Source organism: Homo sapiens, chromosome 3 (genome assembly GCF_000001405.40).
Source record: "Homo sapiens chromosome 3, GRCh38.p14 Primary Assembly".
NCBI lineage: Eukaryota > Metazoa > Chordata > Mammalia > Primates > Hominidae > Homo > Homo sapiens.
In genome coordinates this window covers 29,496,775-29,519,891 of record NC_000003.12, presented here as the reverse complement: position 1 = coordinate 29,519,891, position 23,117 = coordinate 29,496,775, and the positions used below count along the sequence as shown (strand labels likewise).

The window sequence follows — 23,117 nt, the reverse complement described above, 5'->3', positions numbered from 1 at the left end:
AGAACAGAAGGGTCAGACTTTTGGCCACAGACTCAATAAATCACAGTAAAAGTTATTATGTGGTGTAAAAAAATCACCATACTTAAGAATGCTATCGTAAAGCTCCCATTTTAATAATAACAAGGCAGTTTGATACTATTTTGGGGGGAAAATGAGGTCCAAGCTTGAGATTTCCATAGTAAAATCTATCCCTTAATGTTATCCTAATTGGTCTAGTTGACAGGAAGTGTGAAAGCCAAGCAGGAGATTTTTCATTCAGATAGAAACCAAACAGCAAAAGAACTGCCAGTCAATTAGTTAACTAAGATTTGAGTTCTGTTGGTTGACCTCTGAGTTCCACACCCTCATCTGAGGAGAATGGCATAGGACTGAGTGGTTTTCAGACTGTTTTCAAAAGCAAAATGTTTGTGACCTTTCTATTTTTTGCTCCTTTTATATTTTGTTTCTCAATGAATGAATCAAGACAGTTGCTTGGAGGTCGTTCTAGGCTCCTTCCTCTTCTTCACCTTGCATCCCACATCTGTCCCTTCCATCACCCAACGGAGTCAATGTGCCTTTCTAACCCTTCTTGAATTCCCTCAATCTGCACTGACACAGCCCTCGCCTTATTTAGTCCTCATAATTCCTCATTTAGGTTCTACAGATGGCTTTCTTCTTCTCTTGGATAAGTTTCTATACCAAAATAAGTTTGCAGTAGTGTAAATGCTGAGGTAACACATCTATGGGGCTTGAAACATGGACAAATTGCTTTCTAGAAGGGTTGTACCAACTTACGTTACAGATATCAACAGAAGACATTGTAATTTCACTGTCACATTGCCAGTTCATGCTATTATTACTTTTTCTTTTGGAACACGAAAATACACTCAAAGCGCAGAATTTGCTCTCTGCGTATTCTACTTTCCTTCAAATGGTTCATTACGATCTTACTAATATAAAATGTCCACTTTCAATCACTTGCTTCCCATTTCTCTTCTCACTCCAGGCCCCCAACAGCTTTGCTCACAGAAGTAGCCCTATCATCTACAGTTGTCTTTTGTTTTTAGTGAACATCATAATTAATTCTTTATAAGGGAAGTGGATACTTTGCTAGTTGAGACACAAAATTAGAATGTCATCTCTGCTACATATTAACATACAGTGTATAAGTAGACCTCTGCCTTCAGCAAATTGCAAACTGTGAATGAGCTGGAATATTGTACCAAATTTAAAAAATGAATAAAGAAAGTGGTATGAAATGTGTTGACGAGATGAAAATGGCTACTTAAACTTTAGACATGTCCTGCCAAGGTGAAAAGAGAGTTGCTAATTGATCCTGAAAACATAAATGTTTTCATATTCTTTTCTGTTAAAGGATGCACCTTTAATAATGACCTTCTTTTACTATACAATAGATCAGGAGATAGCCATGCACATTTATTAACAATAAAATCTCTGTATATTTCCTAAGGCATTTTTATTATTTACATGTCCACACATGGCGCTGGCTACTTTACTGACTAAAACAAGAAATAGAAGCATTAGTTTTGTACCCAATGCCATGACATGATAACTCATAAAATAACAACTGTTCTATCTATAAGTTTCCAAAAGACATTAATTTCTAAGTGGGTATAGGCCCACAGAAGGAGGGTGGATATTGGTTTAGTATTTCTCCAAATTTAACCACAAACAGTTGCAGTTCTTGACAGTAATACAGGTGCTAGCTACACCCAATAACCTGTGCTTAGTACAGTATCAGGCACCTAATGGTCACTCAGTATATACCCATGTGCATGTGAATGAATGCCCTGCTCTCAGAAAGAGATAAGAGGTAAGGATTATCTAAAAAATGTAGGCATTGTGAGTTACTCTTACTTATGCACAACAGGCCTACTTTTTGCCTTTTTAGCTACCCTAAGATAAGACAGTTTTACAAAAGCTACAAGAATGATTATTTAGGGGGAAGAAAAAGGTTATAAAGAATTTCTGAGGAACAGGAAATAAAATAGAAAATTCAGTGACTTCACTTAGAACTTTACTCACAGTATGTACCCATTTCCTTGACATTTTTTTCCCACAACTACAATTTTTGTCTTTCAATAGGTTTTTGATCTGCCTTGACTTCTATATGATTTCTTCTCTTAACTTATTGAAAACATCTTCTGTAAGATAAAACAGCTAACAAAAACCCAGTATTCCCCCTAGGTCTAGAAAATCATACTGTCCAATAGAAATAGTGGACAGTAGCAGTAGACAACTGTCTCTGCAAGAATATGAGATCATGTAGGGCCGGGCGCGGTGGCTCACGCCTGTAATCCCAGCACTTCGGGAGGCCGAGGAAGGCGGATCACGAGGTCAGGAGATCGAAACCATCCTGGCTAACAAGGTGAAATCCCGTCTCTACTAAAAATACAAAACAATTAGCCTGGCGTGGTGGCAGGCACCTGTAGTCCTGAATACTAGGAAGGCTAAGGCAGGAGAATGGCGTAAACCTGGGAGGTGGAGCTTGCAGTGAGCCAAGATTGCGCCACTGTACTCCAGCCTGGGCAACAGAGCGAGACTCTGTTTCAAAAAAAAAACAAAAAAAAAATATATATATATACACACACACACACACACACACACACACACACACACATATATGAAATCACCTCACATACACAGATGAGAATTTCATGTTTTTCTTTTCTTTTTTTAGAGACATGGTCTCGCTGTGTCGCCCAGGCTGGAGTGCAGTGACGCAACCAAAACGCTCTGCAGCCTTGACTTCCTGGGCTCAGGTCACCCTCCCATCTCAGCCTCCTGGGTAGCTGGGCGACAGACACGTGCCACCATACCCAGATAATTTTTTGGTATTTTTAGTAGAGATCGGTTTCACTATGTTGCCCAGGCTGTTCTCGGACTTTTGGGCTCAAGTGATCCACCTGCCTCAACCTCCCAAATTGCTGGAATTACAGGATTGCACCACCATACCTGGCTAGAAGTTCATGTTTTAATGCATTTATTGTTTCAACATGTACTGAACACTAATGATAACCTAATTGCTAACTCAACATCTCCTTTCATTCTTAAATCTTCTAAGGTATTTGATACTGTTGAGCATTTCATTTTAAAAATATTACTCCTAATTTTTGTGATATTGCTCCCCTTTCTCTGATATTTTCAGCTTGCTCTTGAAAAGTTCCTCTCCTTGGCCAGGTGTGGTAGCTCATGCCTATAATCCCAACACTTTAGGAGGCTGACGTGGTAGGATAGCTTGGGGCCAGGAATTAGACACAAGCCTGGGCAACACAGTGAGACCTTCTTAGGCATGGTGGCATGCACCTGTGTTCCCTGCTATTCAGGAGGCTAAAGTGGGATGTCTTGGCTACAGTAAGCCATCATTGTACCACTGCACTCCAGCCTGGGCAACAGAGTGAGACTCTGTCTCAAAAAACAAAACAAAACCAAAAAACAAAAACAAACAAAAAAAAACTTCCTCTCCATAGTCTTCAGGCTTTATGCCACTCTATGTGTTTTCTTAGTGATTTCATCAACTTCTGTGGTTTAGATTATTCTGACACTCAGATCGTCATCTCCTGACCTCTAGGCCTGTTTATATCAACTTACCAAATTTTTCATCGGATGTCCTAGAAATACATCAAACTCAATATATCTTGAATCACATGTATTATTTTATTGGTAAAAACTGATCTTACTTGATTCTCCACACCTCGGCTAAAACGATCATCACAGATGCAGTTGCCAAAGTCAGAAACAACAGTATCTTCCTTGATCAATCCCCTTCCCAGCCTGCCTCATCTTATTGGTCCCCATGTCTTCCTGATTCTCATTCCTAAATCCTGTCCCCACTTTATCTTTTGTACCCTTAAAGTCCCTGGTCCATGTCCTCTTCAACTCTCACATAAACAATTCCAATATCAATTTTGACGGAATTCTCTTCCCTACCGGCATTCTGTTTTGGCATGTGCCTAGGTATAAAAACTACTATTTCCAACATCATTTGGGTATTAAGAACCCACGACCATGTTACAGTTTGGGGCCAATTATAAAAGCACAAAGCTTTTGAACAAGGACACACTCAGCTGGCACTTGTCTTTTGCCCTTTAGCCTTCCTGGTCTTCCTGCATGTACTGCAAATGTAATGCTAAAGTGGACTAGCTCTCTGCAACCACAAGGCAAAGGCAGGAAGTGAAAGGTACACACCAAGTGCTGAGTGTCTAGATGGAGTCACCCTACTGCTCTGGATTGCTTACCTTCAGTCTCCTTCTTATGCGGTGTGAAAAACAGTTTAAGTCAGTGTTTAGTCATTCTTTCTATTATTAGCACATGAATGCAAGAGAAAGGATACATCCTTCCAGCCTGTCTTCCTGCATCTAGCTTTCTTCCTTCTTTGTCATTCCAAATTCTTTGCCAGAATCGACTTTCCAAAATATTACTCTGGCCATATTATTTCTTCTGCCTATAAACCTCTCCTTGGTTTCCATTGCCTTTATAACAAGCTCTTTACCCTAGCCTTGATGCAAGACCCTTCACCATAAGACGAGCTTGCATTCAGATTATATCACTTACTGTTTCCTTATGCAAGCACTGCACTTTGAAGACATCAGAAAATGTCATGCACTTCAACAACTTTCTGCCATTTCCATGCTCTTTCCTTTTCCAGGTAAATCTTTTCCTGCTATCCCTGCTAGATAAACTTACATTCATTTTGGAGAGCAAAGCTCAAATACTACCTTCCTCCTGCAGCTTTCACCTAAGCCTTTTCCAAACTTAAGGTCGATTTGACCACTTCCTCATTCTTTCTAAGAGCATGTTATTTACAGCACTACTGCATAGTACTTAAGAGCATATATTTGGGAACTTCCTGGACTCTATCAGGCTCTGTGACTTTGGAAGCTGATTGATCTTGAACATAGTGGCTCATTACCCTCATCTGTGAAATGCTGGTAACGTTGACATCTACCTCGAAGGGCCTCTGTAGGATTAAATAAGACATCTGGAGTTATTAGAAGAAAATCTGACATGCATAAAGTACTCACTGACAGTTAGGTATTATTTTTAGCTATTATCCTCATATTATTATATATATGCCTATCATATATACATATATATGCCTATCATATATATATATGCCTATCGTATATATGCTTATATATATATGCCTATCATATATATATGCTTATCATATACACATATATATGCCTATCATATATATGTATGCCTATCATATATATATATATATATATATATATATATGTGCCTATCACACATATATATATGCACCTATCTCTCCTCCCCTTGAGCATTTGGGGATAAATCGCTTCCTTTTTCTTATCCTCAGTGTCAATCACAGTGTTTTTCCAAAAGTACATGTTTGACAAATGTTGGATCAAATCACATTAGATTGAGCAACTCGTATGTGTAAATCCCATTCAGTGCTAAATGTCAGGTTACTAAAGTTCATTTTAATATGTGTTGCAGATGTTAAATGAGAAAACTACTACCAATCCCCATCCAACCCAAATCATTCTTGTCAAGAAAGCTTTTGAGATAGAGGAGCGACTACCTCTAAGGAAGTCTGAGTAGCTTTAGGTTGCCAAACATGGTGAGAGAGCATTCTGCCACATAAATTCCCCAGAGACGAATATAGGGAAGTACTAAAAATTTTAGAAGAATGGAGAATTGTGTCATTGCTACATCCTTAACAATGTTTAATTCAGACAACAGTCCCTGATTTTTTAAAGTGTGTAATAATCCCTTCCTTACATACTCTATGTTTTACCAATCTATTATATGCTTCCTATTCTAGGCTACTTCACGTTTAAATATAAATCAGTGCCTTCAAACATGCCAGGCACTGTGTTAGGCACAAGGAATAGAAAGATTAATAAGATTCTCCAGCCTGGGTAGAGAAAGCAAGGGCAGAGAATGCTTTAGAGAGTTATGAATATGATTCTATTTCCCCAGGGCATGATTGTGTCAAAGGAAGTCAGGAGTGTTGAATTTTGAGACCACATCCAACATTTTATTCATCTCAGCTATGGAAAAGCTAGGCAAGAAGGAAAGTATAGAATGAAATTAGGAAAGGAAAAGAACACATTTTTATAAGCTTGACTGTGGCCCAACAATATTTTTTTTCAAATAGAAGGCAACAGAAATGGGCAAAATATGTGGTGTCTCGCAAAGACAAATTTTACAGGCACCCTGCATACTTCTCACAAACTCTGTGTCCTCCTCCCAAATGAAATTATTATATATATAGATCATTCTAAAAGAACTGAAGAATCCTGGCAGGGTAATTAATGAATGACAGATCAGTCACCCATGTGAAAAAATAAAATGTGGCAAGAAATTATGGCTTTGTCAAGAACTTTGAGGTTTTTAAACTGAAAGCAATTTGTACAGTGACTATTGTGACCATACAACTTCCTAATCTCAGTTCCCATAAAGTCTGGGTGGGGGCCAGTTGGAATGGTTCATCTCAGTTGCAGAGATATCGTTCACAGAGGAAATAAAAGGATTTTAAACACTGGAGTCATTTCCTTTGGTTCTCAGGTCTTTGGTTAGTGATATCTTCGGCTCAATTCCTGCAGCCTAGCTTAGAAAAATAACGAAATCTGTTCCCTGAAAGGTTTTCCAATCAAACAAGTACAGTTTTCAACTCAAAACATTTAAGTCCAATAAAAGATTTTCCTTTGCCAGAGGGTTCTAGGAAGACTAACACCTTTCTAAGGTTCAGACTGCTCTCTAACAAGTTACATAAAAATCCGCCACCAGTGTAAATGTCAAATGCGAAAGGATGTGTTCAGGAGAGAGACCTATATAATCAAATCTCTAGCTGCTCCTTTGGAACTGCTGCTGAGGGGTCTTGCTGAAAATAATAGGGCCCTTTTATGACACATAGCACAAATGGTAATAGCAAGTTACCTCTCAAGTGGAACCTAAGAACTCTGGAATGGTTACCTGAATGTGGTGAGAGCAGACAAGCAGCGCTTTCCAAATATATCCTTCAGCTAAGGACTTTTGGAACTGCTGCAAGATTATAAAGAAAGGATAGATTGTTGGAATTTTCCTCTGCTCATATATATGCATTCTAAATGCCAAGGTTGGAAGCCCAGTGCACACAGTATTGTTCACATGCCACAGAATTTGAAATATTAGACAGCCTTTGTCCCAGATTGATCTACAAGGAACAGGAAGTATTATGGCTGTACCACCGCCGCTTTTTGTTTGGTGTGGGTTATTTCGTTTTTATTTTCCCTGAAAAGTCCTTAGTAGTAATCCTCAAGTCTTTGGGTCAGTTTCTTGATGAAAAGAAAGTCATAAAGTAGGATGGATCAAATATCAAATGGAAAATATAAATAAATAGAATTATGTTTATATCCTGATATCAAATCTTAAAGTTTTAAGACTTTTTAAATTACTTATTCCAGATATATTTGTGAATACTTATAAATCTTAATTATTAAATTAAAGAAGGATTAATGCAACATTTATAATCTCTAGATAATAATTTAATTCTAACTAATGTCAGATGAATCAAAATTTGTTCATTGCACTTATCACATGCTGCAGCTAAATGATAAATTACTGTTTTTAAAACCTTTTTCAAATGCCTAAATCCAACATTTAGAAATCTTTGATATATTTATTTAGAATTAAATTAGTATAAAAATGACAGAGCAGTCCTCTGCTTGGTAAATAATCCTGACTAACTGATGAAAAATAAGGAAGACCACCTTTTCATTGTGCAGACTTTCCCATTTTTTCTTTCTCTTGACTCTTATTTTTAGTAAATCTGAATAAAGAGTCAGAAATGATAAGGAAAAGGAGGCTTTTACTAAATGTGTCAGAAACACCTAGTGTTTCTGAAACCAGAAAAGGGAAAAAATATTAGTACCATAACATAAGATTTTAATTGCATGCAAATTTAAACCAAATGTTACTGGGAACGCTTGCCTTTTACTTTCTAACTTCTTCTCTCCAGGGAATTCCAAACCCAGGAGCACAGTGTTAACAAAGTGGCTCTGAATATGAACAGAAATGAAATTTCTGTTTTCAGTTAGTCTTGTGATACATATGCTTTCATTTTTTTCCCAAGACACAATTGGATCCTTCAACTTTAAAGTCATAATGTGAAAATCCCATTTTTGTTATTATTCTTATAAATGGTGAAGTGGTTGAGTAATATTCTCCAAATAAAGGCAAAAGGGGTGTTATTCTTTATGTATGATGGTCCTATGAGTAGGGTCCATAATTTTAATTATTTGTGCTGATTCAAACTCTTTTGCCTGGCTCCCCTTTATTTCCAACAGCAGACATTGGCAGTGTTGGGCTAAATATAAAGTTGAGGTCTTTTGACATGAGTTAGAATCAGTAGACCCAACATCGTGACTCACAGAGGCACCAACAAATACCATGGAAAAGTAAAACTAGTTCTCCACATGTTATATACTGAATATTAAAGTGACACAAAACACCCACGCACAGAACTAGTTTTATGCTATCGCCTGTTCATATACCTTATTAGGATCACTGTTAAATTTGAGAATCACACTTATTTTTAGAAATTTGGTTTAAAATAACCTTTTTTATTTATTTTATTTTATTTGAGATGAAGTCTCTCTCCGTCGCCCAGGCTGGAGTGCAGTGGTGCGATCTCAGCTCACTGTAACCTCTGCTCCTGGGTTCAAGTGATTCTCCCGCCTCAGCCTCCCAAGTAGCTGGGATTACAGGTGCATGCCGCCATGTCCCACTAATTTTTTGTATTTTTAGTAGAGGCAGAGTTTCACCATGTTAGCCAATAGGTCTTGATCTCCTCACCTAGTGATCCACCCACCTTGGCCTCCCAAAGTGTTGGGATTACAGGCGTGAGCCACCACGCCCGGCCAAAATTAACTTTTTATTTTAATCAGTTCTCATGGCATCTGTTGAAAGATTTTCTCCTTTATCACTAACCAAAAGGAAACTCAAATCTTTTCATAATAAAATATTTGTAAAACATGCAGAATAGATTTTAGCACAGAGTGGGCACACAATAACTTGTAATTTTAAACAAGAGAAATGCATAGCATCTGCTCATATCTTTATAGGAAAAAATAAACAATGCTAACATAACTAAAGCAATGCTGCAAATAGTCAACAATATTACAAATTGAGCATCCCTAATCCAAAAATCTGAAATCCAAAAGCTCTAAAATTTGAAATGTTTTGAGTTGCTTATATGATGCTCAAAATTCATGCTCCAAGAAAATGCTTATTGGAGCATTTTGGGTTTTGAGTTTTTGGATTTGAGATGCTCAATTAGAATGCAAATATTCCATGATTTGAAAAAAAAATCTGAAATCTGAAATACTTCTGGTCTCAAGCATTTCAGAAAAGGGATACTCAACCTGTATCATATGGTACATTATTTGACATAGGCAATAGAAAAGGGACTTTACCAAGAGCTAACCTAGGCAGGGAACCCTCTATAAAGTAAGTAGAATTTAAGTTTGCCTAATAATCTAAGTCAGGTTTAGAATGGAAGAAGAATAATGAGCTGGAGTATGAGCTGAGTAAAGACTGAATGGTGGTATAAGTATAGCGCGTTGGGAGAGTAAAGTGACTGGTCTTCTTGGTGTCAAAGATACATATTAGAACAAGGTGAAAATCACTATGGGTTGATCTATGATATCAGTGCTCTTTAAATCTATACTGAGAAATTCAGACTTGATAAAGAATGAAATAACAAGTCACATACAGGTTTGAAGCAGCCAAATGTTGTGATTAAAGCATTGTTTAAAGAAGCAGTGTATCTGCAAAAGTATGGAGTCCACAGGTACTTAATAAGAAATTGTGCTTATTCCATCTCTGTGATAAATGGCTGCAATTTTATCCCAGTTTCTAATCACAGCCAAAATCACATGCATGATCATTTTTTTGTGCTATAACCATGAATTGAGAATCTGAGATGTGGTTAAGCCATTCATCATTTTATTCTTTTAGACATGCATTGGACAACTACTTCACGTGCAAAGCATGTGCTAAGCATGAGTGAACAAGAAATGAATACGATACAGTCCTTTGTTGTTGTTCTGAATAGGTGTACAATTCTCACTCTTGATAAGCCCATAGTTTAAGTGAAACATGAATAAAGAAAAATCACTGATTATACACAGCTTGCTAAATTCTGGGTATACTTTTGGGAGAACAGACTTGTATTAAGGGATATAGAGGAAGGATACCAAAGGCAGCTTGGGCTAGCGTGGAAGGCACAGGGAAAGCTTTGAGGAATTTATCAGCTGAGTCTCGCAAGTCAAGGAAGAGCACACAGGCAGCATAAAAGAGGGATGACATGTGAGACATTAAATACCCAGGCTTTAAAACAAAGCAGACCTGAATTTATATCCCAAATCTGCTATTTCATGTTATGGCAACTTAGGCAAGTTCCTTGTCTCTTTCACCTAGAAAATGAAGACAATAATTATATCAATTTGAAAAAACTGCTATCATATATGTAAAACTCTTAGAATAATTTATGTACATAGAAAATGCTCACTATATATTAGTCATTATTAGTAAATGTGGGGTGCTTGTTACGTTACAGGCAAAGAGAACAGGCACCAAAGTATTTTTCCATGTGGCATGTAAATAATTAGGTATGGTTGGTTGGATATGTGGTAAGAGATAAGAATTGACCAGAGCCATCACTATGGCCACATAGGTTGCTCATTGTATAATTCTAGAGATGCTATTCACATGGAGTAGAATGTGAATACTCCCTACACTCAAGAGTTATATTTTGCAATCTACCCACCTGACAAAAGGCTAATATCTAGAATCTACAAAGAACTTAAACAAACTTACAAAAAAAAAAACCAACCCCATCAAAAGTGGGCAAAGGATATGAACAGACACTTCTTAAAAGAAGACATTTATGCAGCCAACAAACACATGAAGAAAAGCTCATCATCACTGGTCATTAGAGAAATGCAAATCAAAACCACCATGAGATACCATCTCGCGCCAGTTAGAATGGCGATCATTAAAAAGTCAGGAAACAACAGATGCTGGAGAGGATGTGGAGAAATAGGAACGGTTTTACACTGTTGGTGGGAGTGTAAATTAGTTCAACAATTGTGGAAGACAGTGTGGTGATTTCTCAAGGATCTAGAACCAGAAATACCATTTGACCCAGTAATCCCGTAACTGGGTATATACCGAAAGGATTAAAAATCATTCTACTATAAAAAAAAAGCGCACGTATGTTTACTGCAGCACTATTCACAGTAGCAAAGACTTGAAACCAGCCCAAATGCCCATCAATGATAGACTGGATAAAGAAAATTTGGCATATATACACCATGGAATACTAAGCAGCCACAAAAGGAATGAGTTCATGTCCTTTGCAGGGACATGGATGAAGCTGGAAACCATTATTCTCAGCAAACTAACACAAGAACAGAAAACCAAACACTGCATGTCCTCACTCATAAGTGGGAGCTGAACAATGAGAACGCATGGACACAGGGAGGGGAATATCACACACTGGGGCCTGTTGGCAAGTGGAGGGATAGGGGAGGTATAGCATTAGGAGAAATACCTAATGTAGATGATGGGTTCGTGGGTGCAGCAAACCACCATGGCACATGTATACCTATGTAACAAACCTGTGCATTCTGCACATGTACCCCAGAACTTAAAGTATAATAATTAAAAAAGAAGGAGATATGGGGAAAAAATAGATTATATTATACAAATGTACACTATTTCTGGTGTTAGAGAGGAGAGAACAAGCCAGATGACGAGAGGCCTTATATTATGATTAGTAGTTAGAAGTTTCTCTTTCTTGACATCTCATTCCAAATAACAGAGATTCAAAATTTCACATATATAATTGAATTTTAATGACAATATGAATCTTCATATTTTCTCATTATTGAAAAAATGAGTTTTTCTTGCATCTCAGTATTGCTAAATTGTGCTAATACTACTTTAGTCATTATTGTTGTTTTCTATTATAGATAGGAGAATTTTTTAAACATATAATGAACATTGAAAAATCAATACCTCACCACACAAGAACCCTTGTAATCACTTCTATACAATTCCTTTAGACCTTTGCCTTCTAAATGCATTATGTTTAGAGAATTGTGGTCAGATCATGGATACAATTATATAATTTTATTTTTTTGCTACCTTTTCAAGGGTTAATTCAGAAATATTTATTAGCTCATATTATGTGCTAGGTCTTGTTTTTGCACATATGGAAAAATATGCTCTCCCCATCAAAGAAGTCACAGTGCAGAGGAGAGAGACATGTCAACTGATAATTACACATATCAAGTAAAAACATTGTCAGAAGCCATCATACTTCACATTTTGACCTAGTTATTAGCAGAGCATACATAGATTTGTCTTTTTTTTTCGCAATTAATATCATACTATAGCTAGGTTTCCATGCTGCCTCAGAGTCTTAACAATTTTTCCTTTACATAATTATAAAATACTCTATAGTTTTAACCAGAGTTTAGCCATTTCTATTTGTGCATATTAGGTTATTTCCAAGTTTTCAGGAATACAAAGCAAAGGTTGCATTCATGTGTATAATTTTTCTATTCCTAAAACATTATTTCTGTAGAAAAAAATTACATAATCTAGTGTATGTACCTAAAGAGTATGGAAAGTTTATTGACTCTTGAAATGAGGTCATAAAAGAACCTCATTTTTTTTTAAATACAGCTGATAGTAAAGAGATATCCTAATGTTAAACTTCAAGGAATCAGAAAAAGAAAGAGAAATTAAGGCCAAAGTTAGCAGAATAAAAAAAAACAAAGATCAGAGCAGAAATAAGTGAAGCAGAACTAGAAAAACAATAGAAAAGGTCAACAAAACCAAGAGTTTTTTTTTTTTAAACAAACAAAATTGACAAACCTTTAGCTAGACCAACAAAGAACAAAAAGAAAGAAGACTCAAATAATATCAGAAATGAAAGAGGAGATATTATAGCTGATACCAAAAATACAAAGGATCATAGGAGACTTCTATGAACAATTATATACCAACAAATTGGATAACTTAGAAAAAATGGATACATTCTTAGACACATAAAACTAAAACATAAAAACCAAGACTAAACCATGAAGTAATGGAAAATCTGAACAGACCAATAACAAGGAGATTGAAACAGTAATAACATTTTTCCCATGAAAGAAAAGTCCGGGACCTGATGATTTCACTGTTAACAAACATTTAAAGAAGAACCGATACTAATACTTTTCAAACAAGACTTCCAAAAAATTGCAGCAGAGGGAATACTTTTAAATACATTTTATAGGGCCAGCATTTTCCTGTCATCAAAGCCTGACAAGAACACTGCAAGAGAAGAATATTACAGGCGAATATCCCTGATGAACATAGATGTAAATAACCTCAACAAAATACTAGCAAGTCAAATTTAACATCACATTAAAAGAAGCATTCACCATGATCAAGTGCAATTTATTCCAGTGATGTAAAGGTGGTTCAACATACATAAATCTATAAATATGATAAATCACCTTAACAGAATGAAGGACAAAAACCATATGATAATCTCAATAGTTGCAGAAAAATTATTTTACAAAATCCAATCCCCTTTCATGATAAAAAATCTCAACAAATTAGGTATAGAAGGAATGTATCTCAATACCTGAAAGGACATATATGATGGACCATAGCTAATATCTCATTCAATGAGGGAAAGTTGAAATTTTTCTTTTCTGAGATTAGGAACAAGACAAGGATTCCCACTCTTACCACTTCTATTGAACATATTACTGGACGTCCCCTAGCGAGAACAATTAAGCAAGAAAAAGAAATAAAGGGCATTCAAAATGGAAAGGAAGAAGTTAAATTATCCTTGTTTGTAAGTAACATGATTTTATCTATAATGTAGCCTAAAAAATTCCACCAAAAAACTATTGGAACTAATAAACAAATTCAGTAAAATTGCTGGATAAAAAATCAACATACAATATAGTAATATATGTTAAGTACACTTAACAATGAATAGCCAAAAATGCAATTTTTAAAATCCCATTTACCATCACTACAAAAATATCAAATACTTAAAATTAAATTTAACCAAGGAGATGAAAGGCCTGTACATTAAAAAAAGATCCAAAATTGATAAAAGAAATTGAAGAATACACAAATAAATGGAAACATGTCTCACGTTCATTGATTAGAAGAATACTATTAAGATGCCCATACTACCCAAAGCAATCTACAGATTAAATGTGATTGATATAAAAATTCCAATAACATTTTTCACAGAAATAAAAAAAAGTCCTAAAATTCATATGGAACCACAGTATTCCTCAAACAGCCAAAGCTATCTTGAGTAAAAACAAACAAACAAACAACAAAAAAAAAAAACAAAATTGAAGGCATCACACTACATGACTTCAAAATACACTACAAAGCTACAATAATAAACAGAGTATGGTACTGGCATAAAAACTATTACATAGATCAGTGGAACAGAATAGAGATCCCAGAAACAAATCCATGTGATTACAGTCAATTGAGTTTTGACAAAGGTACTGAGAATACACAAGAGCAAAAGGACAGTCTATTCAATAAATATTGTTGGGACAGCTAGATGTCCACAAGCAGAAGAATGAAATTAGACCTTTATTTCATACTACATACAAAAATCAACTCAAAAGGGATTAAAAATGTAAATATAAGACCTGAAACTATAAAACTACTAGAAGAAAACACAGCCGAAAAGCTCTGTGACATTGGTCTGGTCACTTATTTATTGGACATGACACTAAAAGCACAGGAAACAAAAGTGAAAATGGATGAATGGGACTACATCAAACTGAAAAACACAGCCAAGGAAACAATCAACATGGTGAAGACATAACATATGTCTGATACGGGAGGAAGTATTTGCAAACCATAGATCTAATAAGGGGTTAACATATATCAATTCAATATCCTAATTTTAAAAATAGGCAAAGGACCTGAATAGATATTTCTCAAAAGAAGACATACAAAGAGCCGACAGGTATATGAAAACATGCTCACCATGACTAGTCATCAGAGAAACACAAATTAAATCCACAATGAGCTATCAACTCACACCTGTTAGAATGGCTATTAGGAAAAAGATGAAAGATAAATGTTGATGAGGATGTGGAGAAAAGGGAATCCTTGCACATTCTTGGTGGGAATGTAAATTAGTATAGCCATTAGAGAAAACAGTATAGAGGTTTCTCAAAAAATTAAAAATAGAACTACCATATCATCCAGCAATCCCACTACTGGGTACACATCTGAAGGGAATAGAATCAGTATGCCAAAGAGATATCTGCACTTGCTTGTTCATAGTAGTAATTATTCACAATAGCCAAGAAATGGAATCTACCTTCAGAACCTTTTTTAATTTTTAATTTTCCAATTAAAATTTTATAAATAAATAAATCAGACAGAAAAAAAGGCAAGAGGCCTGCTCACTGCCTCTTAAATTATTTTTATGGTTGCCTTCTCATAGACCAATCATCACAAATTTCCACTTTATTTGGGTTCATGTTTTGTGGCCCCCTAAAACTCATAAGGTCCTGTGCACTTTAAATGAGCTGCTGCTCCCTGGACCAAGACAGAGCCAAGTCTTCATGACGTACAAATTACCCAAGAGGTCATTTTTTTCCCCTACTAACTGGCACGGCTCAGACATATGTGTGACCTGGGCAAAACATCAGTCCCAGATCCTGGCTAGTGAGAGGGAAGAATTTCCTCTCTAAACTTAGAGACCAAGTTTGTATTTCTGGAGTGGATCTAAAGGTCATAGCCTCTCTGTGTTTCCACATGTGTGCAGTTAGCTAATGTGGGCTGGGAATTCTGAACACAATCATCTACAAACTGTTTAGAGAACAAAGCCCAAACAAGGCCGCACAGAGCTTCAGGTAATGCTTTAACTCGAGTTAAATCCAGATGAGAAAGCCTTTACATTTTTTCCCCATAGCTTCTCCCCAAAATTCAAAAATTCTGGCAATGTCAAAACTAACTGTGGTTTCCATGGAGGAACAGGGATGCCATGCCACATAGGATGTTATTTTTTCCACTGCAGAGGTACTTTATAGGCACCTATTGCAAACGATCTTCAGCTTCAAAGAAGCAGGAAAAAATACATCTGTGGTCTACCTGAGAATTACTTGATTTTGGTTACAAATATGAAATGACTGCCTTGCTGTTATGCTGCTTCCTATAAAAATCCTATCAGCAAAATTAACACAGACAATGGTGTTGGAGAAGTAAAACAATCCTCCTTACAGTTCCCAAAGCAGGATCCAGTTATATTAGGATTGGTGCCTGGAAGTAGAATGTCAGGCCAGAGAAAGACCACTCAGGAACTAGGCAAGAAAGAAATGTAGTTAGAATCTAAACACTGTAAAAATTCAGACTCAAACTTGGACAGGGGAATCTAGAGTGAGTACGAGGAAATAAAGCATGTGCTTGAATATAGCTGTTGAAAAAAACTGAGCACAGATGCTTAACATTTCCGTAAAGGACAGAAGGGAATGAATGACAAGGTAAATCTCGGTAAGAATTAGAGGCTGGAGGGCAACTTGAGACAATAGGAAACTACGTGGATGGGGGAAGAACTTTCTGAGAAAAACCAGATTTCAAAAGAAATAATTGGCCTTAGCAGGCGTTTGGATGTTTTGCTGCAAGAATTGGTGCCTGGATGAATTCAAAACATAAAAGTCTTTGGATTAAACTTTATCATACCTTTAGAATTCAAATAGAAAATGTTTGTTTATCTCTGGATTCATCCATCAAGAAGATAATGACCCCCAAACATTCTCCACAACTACACGCAAGCTATTTGAAGAAAAGAAAAGAGACTGGGTAAGTAATTGGGATAGAGTGGCCTCCTCAGAGGTCTTAACCTTATCCCCACTGAGCAAATATGGGAGGCAAGCCAAACAGAACTTAAATAAGATGAAAGAGAGCATTTGCTCTGAAACGACCACATAGGCCCTTTAAAGAAGCACATGGCTCATTCTGAGTCCTGAGAGTAAGAGAAAGTATCAGCTGCACCTTGTCTTTCTACCACAATAATTCTGAGGCTATTTTCCCACTTAAAATTTATTTAACTGCAGCTCACTTTAAAGTTAACCTAGATAGAAAGCTAGACATTTGCCAACATAAGTGCAAAATTGAAGTTAGCAGAAAACCATTCTCAAAATATAAAAAAGGAAAATGATTTTAAATGGAACAAAATGATCAAAATATTTTCAAAAGGAACATGTGCTTTCATAGTGCCAGCTCCATGTTTTTATATCTATATTCAGTGACAAACAGAACTAGAACCCCTAATCGATACTGTTTATAGTGGGATGGAAGTGGGAGAATAAGAACTACTACATGTTTCTATCAAATTGTCTGCCTTTATGCGAACTCAAAACATTGTGCTTGTGTCTAATTGTCATTAAAAACATCCAGGATCATTTACTTCTAGTCTTACTTATTGGGATTATTTTATGGGAGAAAGAGTGAAACAGTGGAGAGACCTATGCTTTGGGAGTTAGACAGACTTAGGTTTGGATGACCATTTGATGTTTGACACATTTCACAGCATCTCCTGGTTTGTTTCCTCATGAGTAAAATGCGAATAATAATAATTTTGTTAGTTACTTGATGTCCATTCAACAATGGTATAGGCTATTGAAAGTTGAAGATGCACATGTCTTCAATGGCCAAGCAGGTATACAAATGAGTGAAGCGGGCTGGTTTTAAGAAAATAAAGGATAGTTTAGGTCCCGCTAAAAGGCATTCTAATTTAAATACTTTTAACAGTATTGTAGCCAAACAAAATTCCTTCCCTAGACAAATTTGCCCTTCTGATGAATTACAGGAATGTTCTAAGAGACTTCTAGACTCAGTATGCTCATGGGGCTGAGCTGCAGAGTATGTTAGTATAAATATATCTCTGACACCATAACTACCGCGAACCATTTTTCTGAGGACTACACAGCTCTTCGTTTACTCATTTTCTGCTCACTGTTAAGTAGGGCGTCTCTCCTGGGCAAGCAAGCCAAAGACACCATTCATGATCCCTCCCCTTAGGATTGACTTTCCCCTCTTTTTTGAGTATTTTTATGTTTATGTTTTGAGTTTGGGTATTGGTTCTTTAGTCTGTTTTATTTGGTCCACTGATTGGTTGGTTGATAGGCTGATGGGAGATAGGTTGAAGAGTTTACCTTCCATATTTAAGTAAACTCAGACAGGAAACAAAAGATAGAGATGTTGGTAAATGCTAATGCAGATAGGGCTGACCCTTGATGCAACAAATGGCTGCGGTTAACAGAAGCACCGTAAGTCTTCCTCCTAAAACGGATAAATTAACCTCGGGCTTGCAACAGCGTCGGATGTTTTCACAAATTTACGTGTGATACTGGCTTTCTATTGTCTACAGAAGATCACTTGTAAACTGGAACCATCTTATCTGGAAAGATATATTTTATATGAATTTTTTAAAATGTCTGCAACAGTAAACAGAGACAAAGGGTTGGCTCTAAACTAGTAACTTTTGAAAGACGCACAGAGTGGAAATATAGACTGACCTGGACACCATAAAGGAATGTACTTAGTTGTACTAATAGTCCATATTAATAAGACATAATATGTGGCAAATACAAAGTGGACGTGTTAAACTTTCATGGAGATTTTAAACATATACACATGATATCAATGCTTGAACAAGCTTTTATTAGATAATTGTATATGCAGTGTTAACTTGTTCTTACTTATCTTAAATTACTTCTCACAACAGCAGACAACCACAAAGAACCTGACAACTCCCTAAGGCAGAACAACTTCCCCAGGACTTTTCGGTTTATGTAACATAGCAGATGCTTAATTACAAAGAACTATGGGGATTTCATTTCAAGATTCCTTTTTACATTTTATTAAACTAAAATATAAACTTTTAGGTAAATCTTTATATAACAATTTTTAAACTCTCTTTGAATAAAAATACCTCATAAATGTTTTGTCCCTGTGATACACACACACACACACACACACACAGATGTACTGACATACACATGTAATTATATACAGTCATGCATCACTTAACAATGGGAATACATTCTGAGAAATGTGTCCTTAGGTGATTTCATTATTGTGCAAACACCACAGTTTACTTACACAAATGTAGATGGTATAGCCTACTATACACCTAGGCTGTATGGTATAGCATATTACTCCTAGGCTACAAACCTGTACCGCATATTGCAATACTGAATACTGTAGGCAATGGTAACACAATCATAAGTATTTGTATATCTAAACATAGAAAAGGTACAGTAAAAACATGGTATAATCCTATGGGACAACTGTCATATATGAGTTTTGTCGATGACCAAAACATCATTATGTAATACATGACTATATATGTAGAATAAATATGTAAATATATGTATATATAATAAAATTATATATATATATTTATATTTCACTTGGAGTTATTCTTATTTGGTTCAAAACAATAGCCAGAAATTGAGATAGACTGAGAAAATTTCTATTTTCTATACGGGAATCTTTGACTTGTTAAGTTGTCCTCTTGTCATATTCTCAATTTTATCATCTGCTTCCCTATAAAAAGAAATAGTATTACCAATAATTTCCTTATATCTTAGATGTGAAATTAGGAATTTTCTCACTTTGAACCCCTCGTCATTCAAAAGAATGTATGGGAAGATTGAGAAAATTTTATGCCACAGTGTCTTAATACTATTTTTTTTAATGAGCCTACAAATTCTACCTTATGTAATTCTTCTTTTTTACAAAAAAAAAAAAAGAAAATCCTTCTCATTGATTAAAAGCTACAGTTTTTGGTTTATCTATTGCAGCATGTGTCCCAAAGACATAAATTCCAATGTGCTTTATATTTCCCGTGGAATTTCACCACATGATTTCATTCAGTATATCTCAAATATGGTTATTTTTCACACTACCCTTAAGCCCAAGGCCCAGTGTGTTTTTTGACAGTTGCTTCCCTAAAATCGTTTGTTTCAGCTGCTGCTGTTTGAATTGTGGACGAGATCTGAGAATATGAACAGCTGTGATATCTGCAGCTTAAGCTTCCTATTGTTTATCGAAAGAAATTGTGTTTTTAAAAGTGGCATAGAAAAAGTGTTCCAAATATGCTTTATGATACAGGTTTCTGCTAATTCAGGGCTGGTGTCCGCTGAATGACCAATAGGTCTATCTGTATGCCTAGCAGTGAAAATAAACTGCCCTTTTCTTAAGAGAAGTAGAAATTAAATGAAAACTTTGTAATTTTCTCTTATTCCACAACTCAAGGAGAAAATTATACCTGTTTCTAAAATGATCATATTAAAGTACTTATATTGCCAATATTTTATAGATAAGCAGGCATCTGAGCTCACTTATAGTCCTTTGAAGAAGCATATCAAGTGGTACATTCACCTTTCAAACTCTATTTAGGTTTTTGTAGCTTGTTTTGTTTTGTTTTGTTTTTCAGCTATGTACATGAGTTTTTCTCTTTCATACCCCAGAGTTCTCTTTTCTTTACTAAAGGGAAGGAAAAAGAATAGCTATTTAGAATCAATATGATTAACTAATAATAAGAACAATGGCTAGCACCAAAGCAAATGATGATTGACCATGCCTTAAATGTTAGATGCTTTTACCATAGTTTAAAAAACTAAGGAGTCAAGAATCTTTAGGCATTTTTTTCCTTTAAACTTGTAAAACAATATTACAGAGTGAATAGCATAACAAAGGAGTGAACAAAGAAAATTTTTTTCCCAGAACCTATACAACTCAACTAGAATGAATTCCATCACCTGTCACTGCGATGGAATTTGCTTTATCTCAAACACACCAGGTTTATAGGCCCTAAAAAATCTTGAAGCTATCATATAGCCAACACCAAAAGGTATCTTTCATACCTTTAAGACATCCTTTAAGTACTTATACTTTTTGCTATTAACGAAGCTAATCTCAATAAACACAAGTCAATTCATAAAACACACATTTCTTACAGTTAAAATGTACTCAGAATGGCATTAAATTATGTAAGTTACATACAAGCTCTAAACAAGTTGGTTCCTAGAAGGTATCCAAGTCCAAGGCCATAGAAACATTTGCCTGATGTATGTGCCCGGCATATAACAAACATGGTTCCATGTAGTTCTGAAAATACCTTTGTATTGCAGGTGTAGATAACCTCACTTGACAGTTGAAAAACAGATGTTCAGAGATGTTATGTGCCTTGTCCAAGGAAACTAAGATCATAACTTAGAGAATTTCTTGGTATAGACTTCAATTAGAAAATTTTTGAAGAACTGTGTCTTTTTTATATTTAAAAGGTTATTTACATAGTATTACAAGTTTACATAAATTTTAGTGAACTGAATACACACATATATCATATTTGTGCATTATACATTATTATATTTTGTATATCATTTTAAATATACATTAGTATATACAATTTGCCATGTATTAATAAAATCATTAATGAACAAAAATAGCTTTAAACCATTAAAAAGAATAACTCCACATTAACAAAATAAGTACTCTGAATTAAGAATGAATACTTTTGGCCGGCCTCAGTGGTTCACGCCTGTAATCCCAGCACTTTGGGAGGCCGAGGCAGGTGGATCACCTGAGGTCAGGAGTTCGAGACCAGCCAGGTTAACATGGTGAAACCCTGTCTCTACTAAAAATACAAAAATGAGCTGGGCATGGTGGTGCATGACTGTAATCCCAGCTACTTGGGAGGCTGAGGCAGGAGAATCGTTTGAACCCGGGAGGCGGAGGTTGCGGTGAACTGAGATCGCACCACTGCACTCCAGCCTGGGCAACAGAGCAAGACTCTGTCTCCCAAAAAAAAAAAAAAAAAAAAAAAAAAAAAAAAAAAAATGAATACTTTTAGAGAATAACTCTGAGAAACATATGCATCTGTATGTCTTTGGTACTCTTCCTGTCTGTACAGGCCTATGGAACACATACCTGGCCAAGCTTGTGCTTTCCATTGATATAACATCAAAGGGTCTCAGAGACAGAGGTAAAGCACTGGGATCTAAGTGACTACTCAGAACTGTCCTGCATCCTCAATACTTCGGCAATAATCCTAACTACCTGGGTCCCAGGGAGTTTATAATCTAGAGGAAGGACACAAACTAATCATAAAAGCATGAGAGATGAGAGATGGGGTATCCTTAGATCTTTGCACACAGATGGTGCCCAAAGGAAGTGGTTTTGTAAAGGTGTTTAGATAGGATGAGTAGAGTCTTGGAGGACTTTTTGAGAAGGTGACTTTTGGAAGCAATAATTTACATAGACTACTAGAGGTAGGAAGAGAGAGCATTTTATGTTTATCGACATGAGTCAAATTCTTAAAATAGGGAAGTGAAAGACAGGAGCAAGGAAGCAAACAGAATACCTGGACGACAGTTTCTGTTTAGTCAGATAACATGGATTAGTAAAAGTAACATTCGGTTTACGGGTGAAAGTAATGTAACTCTATCATTTTATTTTTAAGCTGTTTTATATTCCTCAACAATTATTTTAAAAATGTTTTCCCAGGCTAGGCGCAGTGGCTCATGCCTGTAATCCCAGCAATTTGGGAGGTTGAGGCGGGCGGATCATGATGTCAGGACATCAACACCATCCTGGCTAATACAGTGAAACCCCGTCTCTACTAAAAATACAAAAAATTAGCCAGGCATGGTAGAATGCGCCTGTAGTCCCAGCTACCTGAGAGGCTAAGGCAGGAGAATCACTTGAACCCGGGAGGCGGAGGTTGCAGTGAGCCGAGACTCTAGCCTGGGTGACAGAGTGAGACTCTGTCTCAAAAAACAAGAAAAAAAAAAAAGTTTTCCCAATAAAATCATTTCTGCACGTTCTGCATGTACAAAAGCATTAGGGAAGTAGGTTACAATACTAAAGGCTATTGAACACAAGTTGATGCTTAAAACAGCAATGCTGATGTTATATTTCATGTTAGTGGATAATTTTACTTTTGTCTAATATGTATATTAAGTGATTACAAGCAAATGCTGAGTAAATATATAGCTATAAAACCTGCTGAAAAACGTGTAGCTGTATGACTTCCAAAA

General features: G+C 36.0%; 1 protein-coding gene across 12 annotated transcripts in view, besides 1 other annotated feature; it reads right to left on the bottom strand.

Annotated features, from left to right (window-relative positions):
• Positions 1–23,117, bottom strand: part of RBMS3 (RNA binding motif single stranded interacting protein 3) — a 729,325-nt gene that overhangs the window by 490,504 nt on the left and 215,704 nt on the right. The gene's annotated exons all lie outside the window — the stretch shown is intronic.
• Positions 3,989–4,606: an enhancer, noted in NCBI's record as "NANOG hESC enhancer chr3:29556777-29557394 (GRCh37/hg19 assembly coordinates)". NCBI's record gives its function as "activates a minimal SCP1, AML or CMV promoter by ChIP-STARR-seq in primed H9 embryonic stem cells {active_cell/tissue: H9 hESC(primed)}" and the evidence as "EXISTENCE:reporter gene assay evidence [ECO:0000049][PMID:30033119]".